The sequence below is a fragment of the Homo sapiens genome, chromosome 1 (assembly GCF_000001405.40).
Source record: "Homo sapiens chromosome 1, GRCh38.p14 Primary Assembly".
Taxonomy (NCBI): Eukaryota; Metazoa; Chordata; class Mammalia; order Primates; family Hominidae; genus Homo; species Homo sapiens.
The window spans coordinates 29,918,449-29,944,519 of record NC_000001.11 but is presented as its reverse complement, the minus strand read 5'-3'; the positions used below and the strand labels follow the sequence as shown (position 1 = coordinate 29,944,519).

Sequence of the window (26,071 nt, the reverse complement as noted above, 5' to 3'; positions counted from 1 at the left end):
AGTTTAGGGGCAAGTATAATTTTCTCTGTTTTAAAGAGAAGAAAATGCAGAGTCAGTGAGGTGTGGTGGCCTCCTAGGGTACACAGTGAGGCTGGGGCAGAGGAGTCCATCTCAGGCTCCTCCCACTTCCGGCCTCACTGCCCTTCCGGTTCCGCTACACATTCAAGCCAGAAAAGTCTCTCAGCTCGAAGAGAGAATGGAGCTCCTCTCACCAAAGGAAGCAGCCTGGCATATGTTAGTGTCCACTCTGTGCCAGCTCCAAGCTTGGCCCTCAATTTACATCACCGCATTCAACCTACAACAGCCTTGCAGGGGGTATCATGTTCCAGTTTCATCAAAAAGGAAACCGAGGGTCAGAGAAGAGCAGTGGCCTGACGGAGCCCACACAACTGGGGGACTAGAGCCTCAGCATCTTGCGGCTTCTGGCCAGTGTGTTTCTCACCCTGTATGTGTGGTTAAGGAACATCTTCTGAAATCAATGAGAGATAGGAGAATATTGAAGCTCTTGGTCCCTAAAAAGAGGGACAAACTTTTTAACACCTACTTTGTGCCTGAAGTGTTTTGTTTTTTGTTTTTTTTTTTCCTTTGAGACAAAGTCTCGCTCTGTTGCCCAGGCTGGAGTGCAGTGGCGCGATCTCATCTCACTGCAACCTCGGCCTCCTGGGTTCAAGCGATTCCTGCTTCAGCCTCCCAAGCAGCTTGGATTACAGGCAAGTGCCACCACACCCGGCTAATTTTTGTATTTTTAGTAGAGACGTGGTTTCACCATGTTGGCCAGGCTGGTCTCAAACTCCTGAGCTCAAGTGATTCACCTGCCTCAGCCTCCCAAAGTGCCGCGATTACAGGCATAAGCCATTGCACCCAGTCTCTGAAGAGCATTTTTAACACTGACTAGGTCCACCTTACATTTTTCTCTTAGTTAATCACTGCAGCAGCCAGCCAAGGTCGAGGCTGTCATTCCCATTTTACAGAGGAGGAAACAGAGACACAGGGAAGTACAGTAAACACACTCAGAATCACACAGAAAGCAAGTGAAGGAGGCAGAATTCAGACCCAGGTTCCCTGACTCTGAAGCCTCCTCTGGACATGGACACACCTGCTCTGTTGTCCCCATAGAGGATGGCGGGTTCCCATCACCCACTGAGAACACTTTGTCCTTAGGGAGAGGCGTGAGGTGGGGCTGATCAGCCAGTCTGTTGTGTCTCCTGGTTACAGGCTTGAATCCTGACTCTGCTGTTTTCTAGCTGTGTGATAAAAGCAAGTTACTCCCCTCTCTGGGCCTCAGTTTTCTCAGCTGTAAAATGGGTTCATATGAGGACTTTCTCACAAATACATGGTTTGGAGGACTGAGTGAGGTAGGTCTTTTAAAGGGGCTCCAGACTCCTCACACCCCAGCCCTCTCAACACACCTGGTGTCAGGATCTCCCTGGCCATGTAGGGTCCTGACCTGAACACATTTATACTTTTCTTAAGCATCCACTGTGTGCACAGAATCCATCCTAAAGTCAACTGTGCTGAGGGAAGAGTCCTCTCCCTTATTCTTGATGTGCCCCAAAGTCTTGGGGTCTTCCCAGCCCAGGGAGGTCAAACCACGTCTTGCTGTTGTTTGAATACACCAAGTACATTCCTGCCTCAGGGCCTTTGCACATTCTGTTCTCTGTCTGGAAGGCTTTTTGGAATGATTTACTCCTTCTTCACTCACTCAGGTCCTTGCTCAAATTTCCCCTCCTCAGACAGGCCTTCCCTGACCCCTGGTTCAATGTATTTCCTCACTGCGAGGTCCCTTATGTGTTCCAGAGCAGGGCAGCTTGGGTTCTAAAGGCCCAGCCTCTGTGAGCCTATGCGGCCGGTTTCCAAGGGCAGACACAGGCTCTGCTGGGGTGGGCAAGCCTCGGTTCAGGCTCCACCTCCATACTGTTGGGATCTAGGCCTCCCTCTGCCCCCCAGACCCTGTGACTGAGTCTGTCTCTTTGACTCCCTGAGGATGGCTTCTCTCTCCCTGGGGTCCTGCCATGTGGGCCCCGTGTGAAGCAGCTTCTACCTCCAAATCTGCTGGGTGTTCCCACATGGCTGCATGTGCAGAGTCACACCGAGTGTCAACTGTGCACTCAGTGCTGTGCCAGGAGCTTAATGAGTTCATTTAAAAAGAGATAGGAACTTGCACAATCCCAGTTTTATAGCTGGGGAAACTGAGGCACGGGTGGTCAAGTAACTTGTCTGAGGCTACTTCACTGTTAGATGGAGGAGCTGGGTTTGAATGCAAGCTTCTCACACCATGGCCTACGCTCTTAGCCACAGTGACCACGCGGCCACTCTCAACACCGGATACCAGAAGTTTCTCTGTGGATGAGCATAGGCCTGGGGGAGGGTTAATCACTGACCTCACACCCTCACCCATGTGAGCTCAGTAGGGTCCCAGTTACCCAAGGTTGCTGCTGACACTAACCCAGCCTTTTGGGGCAGATATGTGGCAATTGGAGGTTTCCCTATAGCCTTGTAGGAAGAGTATAGGCTTTGGTAGCCAGTCATCCACTCATTCATTGAAATCATTCATTACTTTGGCTACTCATTTGACAAATACTGATTGAGCACCTGCTACGTGCCAGTTCCTGTGCTAGGGATGCAGCACGAGCAAAGGAAACCAAACCCAAGCCCAAGGGGCTCCCAGTCCAGGAGATGGGAAGAGACAAAATCAATGACACAATCGTGAAAATAAATGTAACCTGGAACCTGTAGGGGATCTAACAAGGCAATGCAGATGAAGCCATGGGACCTGTAATGGGGAATTTGATCTAGTTAGAGATCAGGGAAGGCTTCCTGAAGGAGGGGGCACCGGAGGAAACTCTGAGGCCAGGAGGCTACTTGTTGGTACAGTGTGGAAGGAACTTGGCTGTGGGTTGAGCAACTGGCAAGCTGATAGTTAAAGATCTGGAAATTCTGAGAATTGCCATGTCCTCGGGTTCTAAGATTGTGACCCAATGTTTTACAGTTTTTAAGATTCCATTAAGCCAAAAGCTTACGGCTTGAGAATCTAAGATCCTGGGTTCCACCTCAAGAAATTATAGTTTTAAGATTCTATTAAGTAAGGATTCTAAGACTTGGAAATTTAAAACTCTGGGATTTGAGGACTGTTAGGTCCTGAGAGACCAGGATTCCACAGTGGTGGCCTTTGCTGCTGGAGAACAACCTGCCAAAGCCCTCCATCACCAGGAGTGGGTTCCTCCCTCTTCCTGGCTCATGAAGTGGGTGTATATGATGCAGCTCTCTGTGGCTGAGAGAATGTAAATTTATTCTGCAGTTTTAGCATCAGGTGTTCGTCTTATCTGCATGTTCCAGTTTCCAGAATAAATATTAGAAGACAAGTCTGCAGAGATTTTCTGTGTATACATGAGCTAAGTCCTCCAACAGGGGCACATTCAGACATGGATTTTAACACAGGCACTATTCCTGCATTCACAGAAAGCTCAGAGAAGGGAGGAGGCCCCCATCTCCTGAGAAGGGGCCTTTGTGTGCAGAGCTGGGGGGCTGAGATGGAGGGATGGGAGTGAAAGCACTCTAGAAAGTCCCGGCTGGCTGTATGCATGGATGGGGCTATTCTCAGCTGACAGGCTGGAGGTCTGTGTGTGAACCACCTTGTCTGGCTCAGTCAGGACTGGGGCTATGGGCACCTCCCCAAGAGGGTTGGAGGGAGCAAGGCAGCCCCCACCAGCAGTCAGACACTGTGCTGGGCACTGATTGGGCTCCAATGTCAGATGGGGGCAGATCTTGGCACCTTCCTGTGTGACCTTGAAAAAGCCACTTCACCTCCCTGGGATTCAGCTTCTTCAGTGCAACCCATGTTCCTATCCACCCACTTGCCTATTGGTTCTGAGGATTGGAGGGAAACACTAGTGTTGGGCAAAAAAAGTCAAGGGGTAAAAAGAATCTAAATGATGTCTGCCAGGTTGTTGTAGTAACCTGGCTCCATGCTTATTGCTTGTTGTTTTCAGTTAATTACCTGGTGCCTAAGTGTATCACTTTTACATCTCAAGCACTGCTCTTACAATCAACTCATGTTTAATTAATGGCACTGCTGATTGTATGGCAATTGTGTTGCTGGAAGCACTGCACAGGGGTTCAGTCCTCACCCAGCCCGGTGACACAAAGGAGGAACAGTTCCTGCGCTCAAAGCTGCAGGAAGAAGGAGTTGACATGGATGAAGAAAGTGGGGGCTCTTATGTCCTCCATGCTCCTTCATTAACTCCAAGGTGACCTTGGCAGCCTGGAGCAGGGTCAGAGTTCTCAGACTACTCCCTTCTAGTGGGGCCTCTGGTCTCAGGAATTACAAAACCTGAGTGGGGGATTTTCTAAAATGGAAGTAATGATACCATCACCATGGGGTTGGTCATCCTTCTAGAAATGCAGGTCTTAGGACAGAAGTAACATTTTATGAATCTTGTTGGAAGGAAGGGACGAGTGAACCCAGTGGACAGGCAGGTCTTGAGGACAGAATCGTGTCCCCTCTGCCCCACCCACTAAGTGCTGTGATGAAGGATGTGCTGGGTGCAGGGATGCATGGAGGTGGGGTGGCGGCAGTCCGCAGAACATGATGTCTGGTCTGGGTCTTGAATAGACCCAGTATAAGTAAGAGTGATGGACAGGCAGGGAGAAGGGTGTTCCAGGGAGAGGGAGAGGGCACAGCATAAGCAAAGGCCTGGAGGCAGGAACTGCCTTCATTGAGGGTTGACCAAACCCAGAACTTCAGTCACAGCAGAAGATCGAGAGCCGGATTCTAGGGCAGTGGAGCTGAAAAGTGGCCAATTCTTAGGAACCCAGATAGGAGGGGTTTTAGAAAAACTGTGAACTTGTTTACAGATTTTTGGAGTCAATTGCCTGATGTTGGACAAGTTACTTAATCTCTCTGTGCCTCAGTTTCCTCATTCGTGGGTGGGGATAATGATAGCGCCATCATCACTGGGGGTCTCTGTCTTTCACTTTCAGAGACCAGAGACCAAGAGAGGATGTGGCCTGGCCTGGAAGAGAGAGTCAGACAGAAGAACCAGGCAGGATTGAGAAGAGAGGTGCAAAAGTGCAAAAGGCTGGACCCTAGAGACGGGGCTGCCTGTGCCTGCCTCACCCCCGTCCCACATTGGTACCCTCATGCTCCCTCCTCCTGGTGATGTGGGGAGTCACAAGCATGGGCTTGAGTCAAACACATCTTGGTTCAAGCTCCATTTCTGCTCCTCACTCATAAGGTGATCTCAGATCAGTGACTCAGCCTCTCTGTGCTTCATTTCCCTCATGTACAACATAAAGAGTATGACAGCACCTGCCTTTTAGAACTGCAGTGTGGGTTCATGAGGTAATGCAGATGAAAGGCTAGGCCTGTGTTTGAGGTCCACATTAGCTCCATTTCTAAATGTCCACTTGCTCAGGGGTGACTGGGGGTAGAGAGGGAGAGAAAGGGGCCACTGAGGGGTGGTGTTGGGGTCCACAGACAACTTCAAGACAGGTCTTTGTCAAAAGGATGCTAGACAGCAATATGAAAGCATATAAAAATGTAAAGATCTCTGGTAAAGCAAAATATATAGGCAAGTACAGAATTCTGTAATATTATAGTGGTGGTATATAAATCATTTTTAACTTAGGTACAGAATTTAAAAAAATAAAATCATAAGACTATAAATATAAAACTATGCTAATGTATTCAAAATGTAGAAATGTGTAATTTGTAACATCAATAACATAAAAGCAGGGATATGTAAAGGGGTAGAGCTTTTGTAGGCAATTGAAGTCGTTATCAGTTTAAGAGACCCGCAGAATCTCTAGCCAAACTGATTGATGAAGATTTTCCTGTATAAAACCAGTCAATAAAAACTACTAGAGGTGACTGTTTTTTCAAATGCAAAAATCTCAACAACAACAACAACAAAAATAACAAGACATACAAAGAAACAGAGAAACATGACCCAATAATAATAAACCTTTAGAAACCAACCCTGAAGAAATGGAGATCTATTAATTAACTAATGAAGAATTAAAAACAATTTTCTTTTTCTTTTTTTTTTTAATTTTTTTGAGATAGAGTTTTGCTCTTGTCACCCAGACTGGAGTGCAATGGTACAATCTCAGCTTACCACAACCTCCACCTCCCAGGTTCAAGCAATTCTCCTGTCTCAGCTCCCAAGTAGCTGGATTACAGGCATCCACAACCACACCCTGCTAATTTTTTTTTGTATTTTTAGTAGAGACGGGGTTTCACCATGTTGGTCAGGTTGGTCTCGAACTCCTGACCTCAGGGGATCCACCCGCCTTGGCCTCCCAAAGTGCTGGGATTACAGGTGTGAGCCATCGTGCCCGGCTCAAAAATAATTTTCTTAAGCTCAATGTGCTATGAGACAACATAGATAGGCAACTAAACAAAGTCAGGAAAATGATGTGTGAACTCTTACTGTGTGACCTTTGGGCCCACTCTGGGCCTAAGTTTCCCCAATTGTACCATAAGACAGTTGGATCAGATGATCTAGTAGCATTCTCGATTTGGTGGTTCAAGAAATGGACCATATATTTCTTCTATTATCCTATACAAGAAAATCTTGACCAGATGTTCATAGAAAAAAAAGGCATTAGTTCTATTATGATGGTCTCTTTTATGAGAAGTGAGACAGAGGAAAAACATCAGCCTGATGACAAGTCACCAACACCATGACCAGAAATCAAAAATCATAGTGCCATCCTGGTCAACACTGGCCTGGCTGCAGGGAGCTTTAATGCCCAGTGTGACCTGAGCAAGATGAAGACCTGAGCCAAAATAAACATGCCCCCTCCTCTTATATGTGGGTCATAGAATTACCTAAGCCAGTGAGAAGGAATGAAGCCCCTTTTTGATGTCAGAGCCTTGGGGGACATGCACCAGTGAGGAGGGGCTGAGACTGATGACTGGAAAGTGGTTGTGGAAATGAGGAACAAGTGTCACCATCACCATTATTCATCATCATCATCATAATCATCATCATCATCATCATCATCATGATTAGAATAACAGCTAAGAATTATCATGAGCTTACTATGCACCAGTCTCCTTCTCCTAGCTCTTTGTAAAGCCCAGGGCCTAGCAACAGTAAGTGTCCACGCTGGCTGGACTGATTAATTCAGTGGCTACCAGTGATGTCTATTTTTGATCTTTTGAAATGGCATTTCCTCATATTTCTGATGTTTCAGGCCAGCTCTTGAGATACCACTAAGTGAAGCTGAACAAAGAAAAGGTAGAAAATTCTCTAGAATGAGAACGTGTTGGAATGAGAAAGTGCTGGACCAAGGAAATATGGTACCTCCCGAGGAGAACGTCACCATCCCATGAAGGAGGCTGACCTGAAAACAAAGAGGAAGCAGCATGGCAGCTGTCCCTCCTATTACTGCCCACATTTTAATGAAGGAAATGCAGTCCCAGAGAAGCCAAGTGATTTGCCCAAGCTCACACATTCCAGGATGGCAGAGGAGGCTCAAACTCCAGCTCTGCCACTAAGTCCCGTGCTCTTTCCCCAACCCCACACTACCCTACTGGAATTACGAGGCCAGCATGATCTGGAGGCATCAAGGAGGGATTCTTGGAGGAAGGGGAGCTCAAGCTGGGCCCTAAGGGACACAGTGAAGGGGATGAGCATGCAGGGAGGGCGGTGAAGCCTGCAGTTTGCTGCTCTCAGATCTTTAGGCCTCTGTGTCTGGAATTCTCCATGAAGAGGCTCAAGTATTTCCTGGGGCAGGTCTGCCCAGGACCCTCTCCCAGAGCAGATGGAGCTGCACCTGGGCCCAGGTGGGAGGCAGTCCCCAGGTAGAAGGTGGTGGCAGAGTGAAATAGGAGCTGCTGGGAATGTCCTGTTCACTTGGTTTTGGACCCAGGTGTGCCTGAATGAAAGTAGCATCCTTGACCATCTGCTGCGCGGGGGACTACGGTCTCTCAAATGTCTTTGATAAGGCTATTAGATCACATTCCATCAGCCAGTCAGCCCCAGCAGCCATGCAGACCAACCCTGAAAAGTGTTTCATCAGCAGAGAAATGCACAGCCAATGAGCCCTGTGATTTCCCTTGCAAATTCCCCATGCCAGTAGCATCCTTCGAAGGTAAGAATCTTCCCATTATGTCCACAGTTGGGAAAATTAGTCCATTTCTCTTCCCTGTTCTGCCTCTGAAGCCCATGTTGACAGTCTATTTTCCCATAATGAGGCCACAGACGCTAAACAACATCAGGCAGGCAGGAAAATACACATCAGCTCAGCTGCTGGAGGATATTCTTGACGTGCGGGTGGGGCCGGCAAAATCGCTACTATTTTGGGAGCCAGCTGCCTGCATGGGTGGGAGACACATCGATTCTCTGCACAGATCAGCTTTTCAGACAGAAGCTGAGGAAGCTGAGTCTGCAATTCTTTAAAATCTCAAATCCCCTTTCTCTCCTGCCCACTCTCCCTGCAGTCTTTCAATAGATATTTATTGTTGCCTATTAGGTATAGGCTCTGAAGTGGGGCCCCAGACTATGGGGATGATTGAGACAAATTCTAGCCCTTGGGGGAAGGTCGTCTTGGGAGAGAAGTGCGCTAATCAGGGGACGCCCTGCAGTGACAGCTTACCTGATCCTCACAATTAGTTACCTCCCATTTTTTACTTCCATAGAACCCTGGGAACATCGCTGATTTAAGCATGCATTAGTTAGCATTCTCCAGAGTAACAGAACCACTAGGAGACAAGATAGATCGATGATAGATTGATTGATAGATAGATAGATAGACAGATGATAGATGATAGATAGATAGATAGATAGATAGATAGATAGATAGATAGATAGATAGATTAGATAGATAGATAGATAGATAGATAGATAGATAGATAGATAGATAGATAGATGATAGATAGATAGGAATTGGCTCACACAAGTCTTGAATTGACTTGCCTCTCACCTGAGAGGTCCCACGATTCACTGTCTGCAAGCTGGAAAACCAGGAAAGCCTCTGGTATAATTCAGTCCCATTCAGTCCCCAAATTCAAAGGCCGAAAAACCAGAAGTATTGAATATCTGAGGGCAGGAGAAGATGGGCAGTTCACCTCCAACAGAGAAAATGAATTCACCGTTCCTCCGCCTTTTCATTCTATTTAGGCCTTCAATAGATTGTACGGTGCCTTTCTCACAACAGTGAGGTTGATTTTCTTGACTCAGTCTACCCATTCAAATGCTGGTCTTTTCTGGAAACACGCTCACATTCTCTTCTGGAAAGGAAACACCCTCACCGACACACCCACAAATAACGTTTTACCAGCTTCCTGCGCATCCCTTAGCTCAGTTAAGTGACACAAAATCAACTATCACGAGGTCCCAGGTCCCCAGCAGCCTTCGCCACATCCCATGAAGGAGACTCAGGAGGGCAGGGGTGGTGTCTAGCTTTAATCTCCTTCCTCTGTTGTCCTCCTTTTAGACTGGAAGCTGCACGAGAGCAGCATCTCATGCACTGTTGTTTTCCTGGGGCCTGGAACACTGTGGGACACACCGCAGGATCAAAAATACTGGATGGAAGGAAGGGAGGGAGGGAGAAAGAGAGGGAGAAAGACAGAAAGGGCCTTGTTTCATAGGCACAGAGTGAGGATAGGAAGCAGAGAAGACAAGTGAAAATTAATGGTTTGTGAGGTGGAAAAAGCAGAAGAGATGAAAGATTTTAAAATGGTCACACTGTGATCTATAACATTTTACTTAATCAAGGACAAATTGCTCTTCACCTTCGGTGGATATGAGAACTGGCCAGAGTTTGCATCTCAGAAGAGCTTTTTGAAATGAAACAAGCTTTATAAGGATCATTTCATGCTCAGCTGGACACATCAGAGATGCCACAGACAGGAGAAAATCCTAGCACAGCATCGTAGAGAACAGAGGCCCTGGGCTGGATGTCTGGTCCACTCCTACTGCAGCAATGAGTCAGGATTATTCAAAATCCTGCCCAGGCCCCAGGAAGCAGAGGGGCCCTCAGCCACCCCCTCCTCCCAGCCCTGCCCACAGGCTGTCTCTGGGCCCAGCTGGGGCTGATCCCTACTTGTCCCCCCAAGATCTGCATCGCCTGTCTAAGGGTGTGGGCTGAGCCGGGACCGGCTGGGCCCCAGATCCCTGAGAAGTACCAGGACCGGCTTCCTGGTGGTTTCCTGAGCACATCACACTCAAGCCCAGCCTGTGGGTTCACTTCCCAAGCACCAGAGAAACACTCACTGGGGCGTCCTCATGGCTCTGGGACTCTCCACACCTGGATCAGTCTTGGCTGCCCTGACCACCAGCTGCGTGACTGGAGCGCTTCCCTTTAACTCTGCAGGCCTCTGTTTTCTCATCTACAAAATGGGAATATTCCATTCATTCGACAAATATGTATCAGGTACCTGGAGTGTGCCAAGCACTGTCCTAGGTACCAGGGATAGAGCAGTGTGGACAGACAGGGCCCCTGCTCCCATGGCGCTCCATCTAGTGAACAATCCTCCTGTGTCCCGTGCCCGAGAGGATCTGGATGATGGGCATAGACACAGAGCCTGTGTGTCCTCAGAGCTCAGTAAACCCCCTTGGGATGAAAGACAGCAGCAGAGAACCAGGCCCTGGGCTCTGAGGTTGGAGGCACTGACTTACCTCCTCTCCCTCACTCCCACCCCAGCCCTAAGAGCTGGTGTTTCTCCCCATGTTAGAGATGAGTACAGGAGGCTCAGAGAGGTTAAACACATTGACCAAGGGCACACAGACCAGGACAGTGTAGGTCAGATCCCGGCCCTGTGCTCTTCTCATGACCCCCCCAGTTGAATTTCTGGCTCCAAAGGCACCTTTCCATCCCTTGGGGTCATATCCCTGGGGTCCCAGGGACTCCCAGGGCCACCCATAGGATCTCAGTACTTGGCCCAGTAAGTCTGTCAAGTTCTTCTCTCCCCTACCCCCACCCCACCTGCCCTGACCCATCCCTGCTCCCTGAGAGTGGGATTGAACTCTACCTGGCCCCTTCACTCCACCTCTCTGGAGCCACGTTTCCCTCCCCTGTAAAACAGGGCCAATAATAGCCCCTTCCAGGGTTGTTGGGAGGATGGAGAGAAGTAATTTGCATAAAGCTGGGAGCAGCTGGCATCTCTCCTCTCTCCAGGAACTTCCTCTTGCCCTGTGGCTCCCTCCTTCCCTCGGGCACTTCCCAACCATCCTCCCGAAGTCCCCTCCCCTTCCCACACACCCTCCCTGCATCTAGCATTTGCTATCTTAACACCCTATTTATTTCTTTCACAGCAAGTTTCAGTCTAGGTGATGATTTTATTTATTTGTTCATTTAGTCATTTTTTTTGGCTGCTTCCCCAAATGCATCTGAGACTTCCTGTTGTTCTCATCCATGGCCGTGCCCTGGTGACACAGAGCCTGGCCCACGGAGGAGCTCAATGAACACTTGCTGATGAAGGTTGATGAGGAGTGGGACTGGGTTACATCAGCCAGAGTGGGTGAAGTGACAAAGAGCCCCCAAATCCCAGTGGCTTTACTCAATGGATGTTTGTTTCTCTTGAGCAAAGCCCAAGCGGAGGTCCTGGCTGGGGCTCCCTGTGGGTAGACAACGCCTCCAGCCGAGATGAAGGATCCAGGTTCTCTCTACCTGAGATGCTGCCACCTTCTTATGTGGCCTCCAGGCTCTGGGAAGGGAGGCTTGGTGGGGACTCCCTGACCACCCACGGTGTCTCTGGACTTCCAGGAACCCTTCTCAGCCAGCCCTTCTGAGAACCCTTCTGCTGACCCATCCACACTGTCCTGAGAGTCCCACGCTAGCAGCCGCTGCTTCTGGGCTAGGATCCCAGCTTCGCGCTTCTAGCCCTGTGACCTTCTGTCCACTGAACAATTCTGACTTTTCTTGCTGTTTGCTCTACCTGTAAAACTTTTCCCACCTTTCTTTGCCTACCTAATTCCAGCTACTCCTCTGAGGTCAGCTTAGAACTTCCTCTGGGAAAACTTCTCTGACTCTCCCACCTCACCCTCGTGTATGTTGAGTCTCCCCAGCCCCGTGCCCCTTTAGCAAGAATCTTCCCATATAGTCCTCATCCGTTCACATGTCTGCCCCTTCCTATATCTTCCCCAGTGTGAGGCTGACCATAGCTGGGTCACAGCCACGTCCCCGGTGCCAGCAGTACCCAGTGCCTGAGATGCCCAATCAAGAGGGAAGAAACAAAGGAATGAGCAAATGCAATTCTCTCAGCCTCAGTTTCCTCATCTGAAAAAATGGTGTTAATAACTCCTCCCTCACAGGGTGGCTTCAAGGATTCAGTGAAATAAAGCAAATGAGGTATATTGTTTGTAAAAATGTCTGTAATTACCCACCCCCCTTGTCTGGCCCTTCACAATGTGACTTCGCATCTCCCACATTGGAATTTGGAGTCTTCTTCTCTATTCCTTAAATCTGGGCTGGTCTTGTAGCTTGCTCTGGCCAAAAGAATGTGTCAAAAGCGACGTCATGCCAGTTCTGCACCTAGAGCTCAAGAAGCTATGTACCTTCCCCTCACCCTCCAAGCACTTTGTAATCTCATGCAAATATGGCCAGCCTAGGGCAGGCCATGAGGACCAGAGCCATACCGGTCAACCCCGTAACAGCCAAGGCCCCAGACTCAGGAAAAAGCCCAGTCAAACCAGCTAAGCCTACCCACTAAGCATCTGCAGATACATGAGCAAGGCGGTCCCGGGCTCCCAGACTTGAAAGTGAAATCAGTGCTTCTTGTTTTAGGCTAATCTGCATTGGGGAGGTGTGACCCCATAGCAGCAAACTCACTGAACAGGCAAATGCTGAAATGCAGCAGGCTGCCAGCAAGCATCACCGCCTCCACTCTCTCCCAGGAGAGACAACAATGAGAAATCAATCAGAAGGGTTCCAGTGCACTGCGCAGAGCCAAATGGGAAAGGTGTTTCGAGGTTGGTTCCTGTGGAACTGCTGCGTCTCAGAGATTCCCACAGCCTGAATGCCAGATTGTCGGAGGAGGTGGGAACAAAGCCCCCTCTCTGTGCAGAGACACTTCGGGAAGACAAAGGAGACAGGACTTATCAGCTGCATTCTTGTCATTGGCACAGGTGAAGATGCATTTTTAACAATTCAGCCTCACAGACTCTTGCTATTTATCTCAATAAATGCCAGGGTGACTTTTTCTTTCTCTTTTTCTGTGCTATAAAATGCTCAGAGAGTAGTGCAGTGAGAAGATGAAGGATTGACACGCAGGGAAAATTCATTTTTAGAGGTTTCTATAAAGCTCCCCCAGCCGTGCACCCACTGAGCAGAGCCAAGTGGCCTGGGGGCTGAGAGGGGCAGGGGCAGGCAGGTAAGGACTGGGGTGGGGTTGAGCTGAGTTGGGCAGTGGGGTGAGGGAGAGAAGATGGGCAGCTCTGGATGTCCCGAGGGGAGGGGAGGGGGATAGAGGGGGAAAAGCATGTACAGCGGCCCTGCCTTTAGCCCCACTCCCTCTAAAAAGGGCCCCTGCCCTGAATTCCCACCTTAGAGGGACCCACTCCAGCCACCCTCTGGCTGCCTACAGCCCCTTGACCTGAGGACTCCACAGAGGACACAGTGCTTGGAACCTGCATCTCCCTTCCTATGCCCTGCTCTGCCTGCCCAGGGCCTTGGGATTCTTGGATGCTCCAAGCCCACTTCAGATCCTGTGCAAGCCTCTGTCATGTTCCTTCTCCCAAGAACAACCCGCACTGCCTACGTGAGCAGCCCTAGGCCACAAGGTGGGTCCAGGGACAGCTGTAGGGAGAGGGTGGAATGGATGGATAGTTCTTAGACCTGCAGGTTGTGTCATCCCATGGGAGCCAGGCTCCAGTGGTTGAGGACAGAGCTGGGGGTGGGCAGAGGAGGGGGACAAGGAGGACCACACACACTCTTGCCCTACAAGTGGTAGGATTGGGCCCAACTGGAGGATTTCTACCATGCATCCGCCTTTCCCACTGCTTCCAAGACAGCATCCTCCCTGACAGCAGTCCAGGGACAGGCAGCCCTACTCCCACCTTGTAGACAAGGAAAGTGGGGGCTCAACAGGATCCCCAGCCTAGATCACATTCAGCTGACAAGAGGCCCAGGCAGGATCAGAGCCCCATCTGTCTATACCCAGGACCTAGCAGGTGGCAGGGAGGCAGTTCAGCACAGGAGTTTAGAACCTGGATGTGCACTGGAATCCTTGGCTGTGAATCCCACATCTTGCCCTTGCTAGCCAGGTGACCTCAGCCTCAGAGAACCCTTCTCCTCTTGGTGCCTCAGTCTCCTCAACTGCACATTTGGGTAATTTGGGTTCCCAGTCCTTTACCTGCAACTCCCAAATCCCCAAAGTCCCCCAAGAGAAAGTTGGGTTTTGTTTTTCCTTTAATTTGGCTTTAGAACTACTTTGATGGCAAAAACTGACCAACGCTGATCTGAGGCTATTTATAGTCTATATTTAAACCACTCAATGCTGAAGAAGTATTGCTGGGTTCCATTGCTAGGGTTTGCCCTGGGTTAGGGTAGGGATTGTGAACCTTAAGTAGCTGCTTCAAAGGGTTGTTCTGAAAATTATAGAACAAACGACCCAGTTTCTTCTGCAAATAAATTGTAAGAGCACATAAAGCGTGAAGGAGAAACTCTCAATTTAAAGAGACATAGATTTATCAACCAATCACATGTGTCAAATCCATTTGAATCCTTAGTCAAACAAATTATGAAACAAAGACAAAAACAAAACGTCTATGAAACCATAGGAAAATTGAATATTGTCTGCATACTTGCAGATACTCAGGACTTATTGTTAATTTCAGTGAGTAGGATAATGGATAGCAGTTGTATTTAAAAATTAAAAGTAAAACAGGCACGGGAGGAAAAATAGGTTGTGTCCCTGAGGCTACAATTGAATTGAAACTACCACTTTCTGCCACAATCTTTGGCAAGTCGGAACCACAACTTAGTTTTTCTTTCCACCTATGACTAACAGGATTCCTGGCTCCAAGTACTCAATGAGTGCATGCTCAAAGGTGAAGAAGGGAGAAGCAGTGACTCCCGTTGGAATACCCCTCAACCCACTAGGAGACTGGGGTCTGGAACCTGGTGTCCAGGTCTCTGCAGCTCAGTGATTTTTAGCCTCGCATGGCTAAAAACAACCTCCAGGCCGGGTGCGGTGGCTCATGCCTGTAATCCCAGTGCTTTGGGAGGCTGAGACGGGCGGATCACAAGGTCAGAAGTTCAAGACCAGCCTAATCAATATGGTGAAACCCCGCCTCTACTGAAAATACAAAAGTTAGCCAGGCATGGTGGTGCACGCCTATAGTACCAGCTACTCGGGAGGCTGAGACTGGAGAATTGCTTGAACCTGGGAGGCAGAGGTTTCAGTGAGCCGAGATCGCACCACTGCACTCCAGCCTGGGTGATGGAGCAAGACTCTGTCCCAAAAAAACAACAAAAAAAAAAAAACAAAAAACAAAGCAAAACAAACAAAACCCTCCAGTGGTTTCAGGAGCTGCAAGACACATTGATGGCAATCAGCGCTTGATGCATCAAATTTTTTTAAAATGCGCTGAGCAGTGTTGACCATGGATTCCTTGGGTATGAAAAGGGCAGATCCAGCCATAGTCATTGGTGACTCTTCTCCTCAGGTGGCAGCCGCCACTCACCTGAAACACAGGCTGACCTTGTGACTCGGTTGATCAATAGAATGAAGGAAAATTGGCACTGCGCACAGATAGAAACATGGCAAGAAATCTGTGAGCAAAGCCTAGAGAAAAAATGGTAAGAAAACTGTTAGGGGAGGTGGGAAAGGCAGAGAGGAAGCTCCTACAGCAAGTTTGAAAAATAAAGACTCATGTGATGTAGTTGCAGAGCAATGGACAGTACTTTGGAAGATGGAAAGTATGTGGAATGAACCCGCAGACCTTGGCAAAACGATTTTCAGAAAGAATGGTCAAAATGTCTGTGATAGTTAATTTTATGTGTCAGCTTGACTGGCCAGGGGATGCCCAGGTGTCTGCTTAAACATTATATTCGCGTGTGTCCGTGAGGGTGTTTCTGGGAGAGATTGCTATTTGAATTGGTGAACTGAGTAGGGCAGATGGCCCTCCTTGATGTAGGTGGGCATTGTCTAATCCCTTTAGGGCCTGAACAGAATAAAAAGGCAGAGGAAGGTTGAATTCACTCTCTGCCTGACTGCCTGCGATGGGACATCAATCTCTTGCCCTTAGCATTTCTAGTTCTCAGGGCTTCAGACTTGGACTAGAGTCTACACTGTTACCACTTTAGCTCTCAGGCCTTTACACTATGCCATCAGCTTTCTTGGGTCTCCAGTTTGTAGATAGCAAATTTGGGGACTTCTCAGCCTTCATCATCATCATCATCTGAGCTAATTACTTTATTATTTATTTATTTTTGAGATGGAGGCTTGCTCTGTCACCCAGGCTGGAGTGCAGTGAAACGATCTTGGCTTACTGCAACTTCCGCCTCCCAGGTTCAAACTATCTTCCTGCCTCAGCCTCCCAAGTAGCTGGGATTACAGGCATGCACCACCACGTCCAGCTGATTTTTGTATTTTTTGTAGAGACAGGGTTTCACCATGTTGGCCAAGCTGGTCTCAAACTCCTGACCTCAAGTGATCCACCCGCCTCTGCCTCTCAAAGTGCTGGGATTACAGGCATGAGCCACTGTGCCTGGCCTGAGCTAATTCCTTATAAGAAATTTTATTATATTTACAGAGGGTGGGGAGGGGAAGTGGAGCCAAGAGCCCAAGGAGGGGGACAAGACCATGGAGAACAATGTACTCCCAGAAGGCAGACCTGGGCCCCAGTCACGGGCATCCCTGTCTCTGCAGTGGCAGAACCTGGCAATATTTGCCCACCAGGGTTCCAAGATGATATGGACCATTCTCTTGTCATTTTAGTTTCTGGATCTCTTGATTGAGAGAGTCATGCTCAGGGATCCTCAGCCACCTAAGGACCTGATTTGATCATGAGATCCAGGACATCCTGGCTTATGCTGTAATTGGGTGAGATTTGGGAGATCCTGAGGATATTTGCATGTGAAAGTAATGTAATGATTATGGCCAGAGGGAGGATAGTGCCACATGGCAAAAATGGACACAGGGCTTTCCAGCTCTTTACACCAACAGATGAAGTTTATTATTGCACTGTCTGTCAGCAAGAATGAGTTTGTCAGATCGTTTTCCTTCCCAGCCTCTTATCTGAAGGGTTAAGGGGGACTCACCTGCTCATAGCTCCTTACTGGTGTCAATACATTTTATCCTCACAGTATCCTCTGATGAGTGGGACCGTGATTGTTCCCATTTCACAGATGAGGAAACTGACGAACAAGAAACGGAGTTACTTCCCCGAGGCCACACAGCTGGTCAGGAAATTACTAGGATTCACACCCAGCCAGGCTGCCGTGTGGCCTGCCTATCCTCTTCACCTCCCTGCCCCCAGCACTGCCCAGCCCTGGTGCTGTGGATGGGTCACACGTAGGCAGAGATGGTGCCCCCTTGGCCCTGGTGCAGGTGGTGGGCTGGGGGCAGCAAGATGCCACCTAGGGAGCAGTGTTGCCCCTCCCCCAGGGCTTCGGGCAAAGGGCACCTGATGAAGGGGAAGACTGCCAGTGTGGCCTGCTCTGTGTGGCACACCCTCGTGGCTGGCATCTAATGAAGGGGTCTGGCTGTTAGTGCTCCTGGTCTGCTATTATCATCCCAGCTTTTGGCCTGTGTGCCTCCTCAGGACATCTGCACACACGGGTCATTCCAGGCTCATCTTCTAGGAGGTCACAGGGGCCAGCCAGGTGGCCTGGTGGGCCTCCTGCCCTGGAAAAGGGGGCCATGTCCATTCTGAGCCTCTCAGTCCCTTTTACCTTTTAGTTCAGACCAGAGCAGGCTCTGCAGCCTATTCTGTGCTCTCCCCTGAACCTCCAGGGGGGAGACTTCCTTTGGGCTGTCAGAACAGGTCTGTCTCTAACCCCCTTTAAACACAAATACTAGAGAGATGTGGGGAATCCTTTATAAAGACGTGACATAATCACATCCCCTGTTTCTCACATCACTCACCTCACTCCTCCCAGGGGCACTAGTAACCCCTACATTCCCCTTTCTCAAGTCCCCAAGAGGGACCAGCCCCCAGGCCTTGGAATCCCCAAGCTCTGAAGCTGGCGTGGGGGAGGCAAAAACAAAGGGTCTTGATGCCTCTGTCTGAGAACAGACCAGGAGGTGTTCATTGCAGGAGTCGGCTCAATGCTTTATTAACTTCTCATAAAGCCAAACAGCCTGTCGTAGAAACACTGGTGTCATTGACAATTGCTCCAATGCCCCATTTAGACACAGTCATTACCCAAAGGCCCCCAGGTGTTTTGAGAACAACCTAACAATATGGCTACTGCCTCACGTGCATGCAGAATGCTGTTCCTTCAGAGCCCTGTGCATGTTGCACGTGTTTCTTATTTTAAAACCAAGAGGGTCTCAGCCATGTGAGGGAGAGGAGACTCTGCCGTCTTAGGGCAGTTGGGTGGGCTGGGACTGGAAATTTCTTTAGACCTAGGGGTTGCCTGGCAGGTAGAGTGACCAAGTACCTGGGACTACCAGGGGACTTCCTGGGGCAGGGGACTATGAGTGCTAAAACCAGGACAGTCCTGGGCACACTGGGGTGGTTGGACACCCTATCGGCAGAGACAAAAGCCCAGGTCAGGTGTCATGTCAGTCAAGAGCGGCGTGCTGAGTCAGCCGATGCAAGCCAAGCTCGAGGGGGGATGTCACAACATGAATTTGATGATACAAAGGCAGATTTCCTGGGCTGTTACCATGTGCCAGGTAATACTCTCAGCACTTCGTGTTTGTTTACACATGCACTACTCTTAGTGTCCTTCGAGGTATTTTTGTCCCTCTGTAGCTTATGAAAAATGAGAGATACAGAAAGGTAAAGTGAACTTCCCAAGGTCCCGCAGTGAATAAGTGGCAGAGCCAGGATTTCATCCTGTGTCCCACAGTCTATTCTCATAGTCACAGTGATAAACTTCAGACTCCCCAGCCAAGCACAAAAGACCCCTCACTGATGGAGTCCATCCTCCCACGTATCAGTTAGCTTCTGCTGCATAACAGACCATCCCAAAATACAGTGGCTTCCACCAGCAAACGTTTATTATGTCTCATGATTCCATGGGTTGGTTGGGCAGTTCTTCCTGTCTCGACAGGCTCTACTGGGGCTGGATGGTCTCAGGTGGCCTCATTCACCTGTCTGGGTCTCAGCTGGGACAGCGGGGAGGACTTGATGGCTGAGGCCTCACTCCACATGGTCTCTCATCCTCCAAGAGACCAGCTCAGACTTATCCACGTGGTGGTGCCTGCAGCGTTCCCAGTACTGGAAAGGGCTAGGGCTTTTCAACCTGCTGTTTGTGTTTATTGATGCCCCTTTTTGCAAAAGCAAGTCAGCCAGGCCAAGTCCAGATTCAAGGTGTGGAGAAACAGCAACGTCCTAGAGCAAAGGGCATGGCTTCAGAGGTAGGAGGAATTTGTGGCCCTGTTGCAATCTGCCACACTGAGTCTCTAGTTTCACCTCCCTCCACATCTCCCCACCTGTCTGCTATGGGGCTCCCAGAAGGTACCCACCTTTCTCTCACCACGGGATACACAGGTGTGCACTGTTCTCCACCAGGAATGCTTCTCCCTCAAATTCCCCTGGCCAGCTCTTTTGTATCCTTCAAAACTCAGCTCAGGGGATGCCTCTCCTGGGAAGCCTTCCCTGACCACTCCCCAGAAACCCAGGAGGCTGGGTTAGGGCCTCCCTGGCTTTCCTTCTGTGTCCCCTTCTCAATACTCTCACAGCACTTCCCACCTCTAGGAGGCTGAGAGGCCCTGAGGTCAAGAGTAGCAAATTACAGCCTCAGTGTCCAGTCCAGAGGAGGGGCTCAGTAAATGCTGAGGGAAGGAGGGAGGGAGGGAGGGAAGGAGGGAGGGAGGGAGGGAAGGAGGGAAGGAGGGAGGGGGAAACTGAGGCTTGGACAAAAAGGTCAGCGTAACCAGGGGATGGAAGCCAGGCCAGTAACTAGGCAGGGCCAGGCAGGCCCAGGCTGTGTTACCAGCTGTGAGGAGGCATCTTGACCCTGAGCCAAAAGCCTGCTAGCCCTCCTGCTCAGGAACTCCTCCACCTCCATCATAGATAAGCCTGACCCACAAAAGGAGCTGAACACCTGGCTGGAGTGGGGGAGTGGGGACCTGGAAGGACTCAGAGGCCAGGAAGTTGCAATATTGATTGAATGCCAAAAAGAGCCAGGCATTGGGACTACAGCAGGAAACCAGACAAACGGATCCTGGCAGGGGGACTCAGACACTGTCTTGTTAATTACAGTGAAATGAATTACCCCAGCAGGCAGCCAGGGAGGAGATGGATAACTTGGTTTGATCTGGTCCCAGGTGAGATCCTGGGAGGCTTCCCTGAGGAGGTGACGGTTGAACTGAGGAGGCATTTGTGGAGGAGGGGAGAGGAAGGGAAAGCATTGAGTGGGAATGGTGGGTGGTCAGAGCATGCTTGAGGGGCTGAAGGAGACACAGACTAGAGTCTCAGGAGAGAAGCAGCAGCTCAGCCCCCATGGAATTAAAGGAGGGAGCCCTTCCTGGGGGCTTGATGCTCCCCAACATCAACAACAAGAATAATAGTAAGTGCTTCATTAGCACCTGCTAGGAGCCAGGTGTGGAAATGTTTCCCACGTTTACTCATTTAATTCCATAGTTATTGTCCCCATTTCAAAGAGGAGGAAGCTGAGACCCACAGGAGTTGAGTTATTTGCCCAATGTCAAAGCCAGGTTTCAAACTCAGTGTTGCTTCAGAGGCTGGGCTCATAACACTGACCTACTGCCTGTGATCACAGAGTCACTCTACAAGCAATCTTTAAGCAGCTGGTGTGTCCTGTTGGTGCTGAGGAATGTAGAGGGGAATAATCAAGGCACGGCCCCTGCCTTGGGGACAGGGGGAGGCTGACATTGTAACCTGGACAAAGAAGTAAATCACAAATATCAGATGGAGATCCATGCTACATGCAAATAAAGGAGCACAATGTGACAGAAGTGATAGTGGGGGATGTGGGGACACAGCTGGATGGGTGTCTGCAGAGCCACTAGGAGGAAGTGACATTTGTGCTGAGATCTCAATGCCGTGAGAGGATGAGGAAGAAGAGCCTCCCAGGGAGAGGAAAAGGCAGGTGCAAAGGCCCTGCGGCAGGAATGGATTCCATGCATTTGAGAAACTGAGTGTGTTAGCCTGTTCTTACATTGCTATAAAGAAATACTTGAGGCTGGGTAATTTATAAAGAAAAAAGGTTTAATTGGCTCACGGTTCCACAGGCTGTACAGGAAGCATGGAGGCTTCTGCTTCTGGGGAGGCCTCAGGAAACTTACAATCATGGCAGAAGGCAAAGGGGAAGCGGGCGCATCTTACATGGCCAGAGCTGGAGGAGGAGAGGGCAAGGCGGGAGTTGCTACACACTTTCAAACAACCAGATCTCCTGAGAACTCACTCACTATACAGTACCAAGGGGGGTGGTACTAAACCATTCATGAGAACTACCCTCATGATCCAATCACCTCCCACCAGGCACCACTTCCAACACTGGGGATTACAATTCAACAGGAGATTTGGGTGGGGTCACACACCCAAACCATATTACTGAGCAGAGGTCAGTGTAGTGGAAACAGTAAGAAAGGCAGAGGGCAGGAGATAAGGTCAGAGGGGCAGGCAGGGACAGATCCGGTGGGCCTTGGGGCTACATGTGCTGCCATCCTCTGAGTGCCCTCCAGACCCATCCTCAGCCTCCTGCCAGAAGACTGACTTGCATGGACGGCATCAACAGGGCTCTTGTGCCCTCCTGTGCCCCAGCTTCTGTGCGTTCTGGAAGCACCAGAGGAGACCAAGGTACGGGAGTAGAGAGAGGACGAGTGCTTATTTCCCGGCTCCCTCCCTCTGAGCCACAGCAGCAATGGCTGCATTTCTCTCCCATGGCCCCAGCTCCATCACATGGCTCCTTTCCCAAGGCTGCAGTTCTCTCTGGGGTCTGGTGACAGCTTCCTCCTTTGGTCCCTTCAGTACTAAGATTAAAACAGCCTCCCACTGTTGCTGGCCCCAGGGGTCTCACCATCCCTGCTGGCTTCCTGTATGCCTGCCACACCTTGGAGAACCCTCCCTCCATTCCACTCCTTTCAGTTCTTCCCACGTGGGCCATCTGCTCCCTGCCAGTGCCGTGGTTTTCACTCCATGATGAGGAATTCAGATTTTGTTTTAAAACACTAGGAATTTAAAACAGGAGCAGGGCTTAGTTTGGATCCAAAGTTTGCTAAGATGTCCCTGCCTGCCATGGAGGAGGGACAGGAAATGGGGTGAGAATTAATGGGGAACATATTGGGGCTACTGCAGGGTTCCATAGAGTTTGATGGGATTTGGTTTAAGATGGAGGCAGTGCAGAAGGATGGGGCCCAGGTCAGGCAGGACCAACAGCCAGAACAATTGAGCTTGCGTAGGATCCTGTGGCCCCAGACCAGGGAGGCTGTAGGGCCAGGATCCAAGCTCTGAGCTAGTGATGGGATGCCAGGAGACTAGCATGCCAGGATGCTGGAGAGGGAGCCCTGGGCACTGGGCCTGCCAGGGACTGGGAAGGCAGGACCAGCGCAGGGGCATGAATGAGAGCCATGAGCCTCTTGTGATGTCCTTTAGTGCAGGGGCCCCCAAACCCCAGGCCACATTAGTAACAGCCACATAGCAGGAGGTGAGTGGTGGGCAAGCATGAGTGAGAGAGGCTCCATCTGTATTTACAGCTGCTCCCCATTGTTCACATTACTGCCTGAGCTCCACCTCCTGTTAGATCAATGGTGGCATTAGATTCTCATAGGAGTGCAAACCCTACTGTGAACTACAGGAGTGAGGGATCTAGGTTGTGCACTTCTTATGAGAATCTAGTGCCTGATGATCTGCCACTGTCTCCCATCACCCCCAGATGGGGCCATCTAGTTGTAGGAAAACAAGCTCAGGGCTCCCACTGATTCTACATTATGGTGAGTTATATAATTATTTCATTATATATTATAATGTACTAATAGAAGAAATAAAGTGCACAATAAATGTAATGCACTTGAATCATCCCAGAACCAAACTCCCCACCCCCGTCTGTGGAAAAATTGTCTTCCACAAACCGGTCCCTGGTGCCAAAAAGACTGAGCACTATTGCTTTAGTGGGGACTTTGGGAAGCCATACAGTCCCCAGCCATGAAGCCTGTATCTAAAACAGCAGCCATCCAATTGCTTCACACGTACACATGCCCCTGGTAGCATCCCTGCAGAGCCGAGCAGCAATGCAGCTGGTCCTTCGTCACCTCTTCCTGAACAAGGTCTCACACCCTGGTCTGTCTGGCTCCATAGCCTCTGTTGTCTTCTCTGAGCTGGCAGCAGACCAGGTGCTGAGCGTCCAGGGGTGACAAGAGGTGGGATCGCCTAGGAGCTGTCACAGAGACCTCAGTGGAGATGGGGCACATGTCAGCAGGAGGGAGGCAGGAACTGCCAGGTTGTACCCTGGACAGGACAGGCCAACCCGGGAGCTGGATGCTTAGCCGAGACACCCAAGAATAGACTCTGCTGGGTGCACGCGTGAGCACTGAGCCTCAGCCGTTCTCGGCGCTTTGGCCTGTCAGCACCTGGGAATGATCAGAATCCCAAAAAAGCACTCATTATTTCTCCCAGGGCGGTGGTGCCCTTTGGAAAAATGGACGTTTCCTGCGAGATCATCCCCTGAAGCTGCGTTTGTCATAGGCCATTGTGTAAACCCATGTTTGGCCCATTTTTAAAAAATATGAATTATCCACTTGACTGGCTTTAATGCTCCTTCTCCAAACTCTCAAAATGTGTCTGATATCAGGAACCCGGAGAGGAGCCATAAAGCCTCACACGGGAGCGGCCTGGCTGGGTCCAGCCTGGAGCTCTGAGCTCCTCGTGCTGCCCCGTAGGGAAGGCCAGCGTGGGCAGCCAAGGGGAGGGTCTGGGTGGGGTGGAGTCACCCTGCTGGGGGCTTAACACTGCTCAGGACGCCGGTCACCCTGGGGTAGCCATCTGTCATAGCCTGTTTGGGCTGCCATAGCAAAATACCATAGACTGGGGCTTAAACGACAAACATGCACTTCTCACAGTTCTTGGGGCTGAAAAGTGCCAGTTGGGACTTAGGGTTTGGTAATGACCTGCTTCTGGTTCAGAGGTGGCCCTTCTCCCTGTGTCCTCACATGGCAGAAGGGCCCAGAGAGCTCTTGGGAGCCACTGTTATAAGGACACTAATCCCTTCCATGAGGATTCAACCTTTGGGTCACTTCCAAATGTCCCACATCCAAATACCATCTCCTTGGGGATGAGGTTTCAACATAAGAATTTTGGGGGAACACAAGCATTGAATTCATGGCACGCCCAAGTGTCTCTCCTGTCAGAGGCCTCAAAGAGAGAAGCTGGGATCTTCAGGAAGGCTCATTCATTCCACCAAGGTTCACTGAGGCCCTACTGTGTGCAGGCCTAGGGGTGCAGCAATGAACAGACAAGGTTCTTGCCCTCAGGAGCAGACATTATGGAGTGGAGAGGAAGACACAGGTAAACAATGCATCAACAAGACTGTTCCCGGTAGAGACAGGTGCAGGGAAGAAAGGAAAACTAGGTGACACTATGGGGATTGACTCACAGTGGGGGTTAGACAGACACCACCTTAGAATGTGGGGACAGGGAAATTCTCTCTGAGAAGTGACCTTCAAGCTGAGACCTGAAGGACAAAGAGGAACAGGCATTTGAATGACAGATGGCATGGCAGGATGATATTGTTTGGCTGTGTCCCTACCCAAATCTCATCTTGAATTCCTACATGTTGTGGGAGGGACCCAGTGGGAGGTAATTAAATCATGGTGGCAGGTTTTTCCTGTGCTGTTCTCATGATAGTGAATAAGTCTTACAAGATCTGATGGCTTTAAAAAGTGGAGTTTCCCTGACAAGCTCTTTTTTCTTTCTTTCTTTTTTTTTTTTTTGAGACGGAGTCTTGCTCTGTCATCCAGGCTGGAGGGCAGTGGTGTGATCTCAGCTCAGGGCAACCGCCGCCTCCCAGGTTCAAGCAATTCTCCACCCTCAGCCTCCCAAGTATCTGGGATTACAGGTGCCCACCAGCACACCCGGCTAATATTTTGTATTTTTGGTAGAGACGGGGTTTCACCATGTTGGTCAGGGTGGTCTTGAACTCCTGACCCCAAGTGATCCACCCACCTCATCCTCCCAAAGTGCTGGGATTACAGGCATGAGCCACTGTGCCCGGCCGAAGCTCTCTTCCCTTGTCTGCCACCATGTGAGATGTGCTTTTCATCTTTCATCTTTCATCATGATTGTGAGGCCTCCTCAGCCACGTGGAACTGTAAGTTTATTAAGCCTCTTTCTTTTGTAAATTTCCCAGTCTCAAGTGTGTCTTTATCAGTAGTGTGAAAATGGACTAATACACAGGCCAAACATGGGCAGTGGTGGGGCCAAGATTGAGCCAGGAGAAGAAACAGAGATGGAGAAAGGGGTGTGGATAAGTGGAGGAGGGAGACCCACCCCCAAGGGGGCCTAAACTGACACTCCCCCTGGAATGCTCTCCGTCCAACCCTTCCCCTGACTCCTCCTCATCCATCAGGGCTCAGTTGAAATGTGCCTTCTTCCAGGAAGCCTTCCCTGAATCCCCCAGACCCATTTGGAAGGATAGAGGTGTGTTATTCACAGACTTAACCCTTGCCCTTTTCTTTGACATTCAAGGAGTACATGACCACTCATTCAACCTTTCTTCCCACACACTGATGTTCACAAGAGGAGACACGGGGGATCTGTCTCAGTTGTGGCAGCATCCCCAGCACCTAGCACAGTCCCGGTCCACAGTGGGAGCTCAGCAAATGTTTGTTGAATGAATAAATGAGTCCGTCCAGTCCAACAAGATTTTCTCCTTTCAACCCCTAAACCCTCCCTTACTAATCATTGCCCTTATTATGCCATTGCAGGCTATGACATTGGTGCTGGCATCACTCTGCAATGTTGAGCTGCAGGTAAATCGTTGCTTT

General features: G+C 49.9%; 4 annotated features.

The window, feature by feature from the left end:
* Nucleotides 10,311-11,066: an enhancer, noted in NCBI's record as "H3K27ac-H3K4me1 hESC enhancer chr1:30406301-30407056 (GRCh37/hg19 assembly coordinates)". NCBI's record gives its function as "activates a minimal SCP1, AML or CMV promoter by ChIP-STARR-seq in primed H9 embryonic stem cells {active_cell/tissue: H9 hESC(primed)}" and the evidence as "EXISTENCE:reporter gene assay evidence [ECO:0000049][PMID:30033119]".
* Nucleotides 13,029-13,610: an enhancer, noted in NCBI's record as "H3K27ac-H3K4me1 hESC enhancer chr1:30403757-30404338 (GRCh37/hg19 assembly coordinates)". NCBI's record gives its function as "activates a minimal SCP1, AML or CMV promoter by ChIP-STARR-seq in naive H9 embryonic stem cells {active_cell/tissue: H9 hESC(naive)}" and the evidence as "EXISTENCE:reporter gene assay evidence [ECO:0000049][PMID:30033119]".
* Nucleotides 17,021-17,666: an enhancer, noted in NCBI's record as "H3K27ac-H3K4me1 hESC enhancer chr1:30399701-30400346 (GRCh37/hg19 assembly coordinates)". NCBI's record gives its function as "activates a minimal SCP1, AML or CMV promoter by ChIP-STARR-seq in naive H9 embryonic stem cells {active_cell/tissue: H9 hESC(naive)}" and the evidence as "EXISTENCE:reporter gene assay evidence [ECO:0000049][PMID:30033119]".
* Nucleotides 22,125-23,019: an enhancer, noted in NCBI's record as "H3K27ac hESC enhancer chr1:30394348-30395242 (GRCh37/hg19 assembly coordinates)". NCBI's record gives its function as "activates a minimal SCP1, AML or CMV promoter by ChIP-STARR-seq in naive H9 embryonic stem cells {active_cell/tissue: H9 hESC(naive)}" and the evidence as "EXISTENCE:reporter gene assay evidence [ECO:0000049][PMID:30033119]".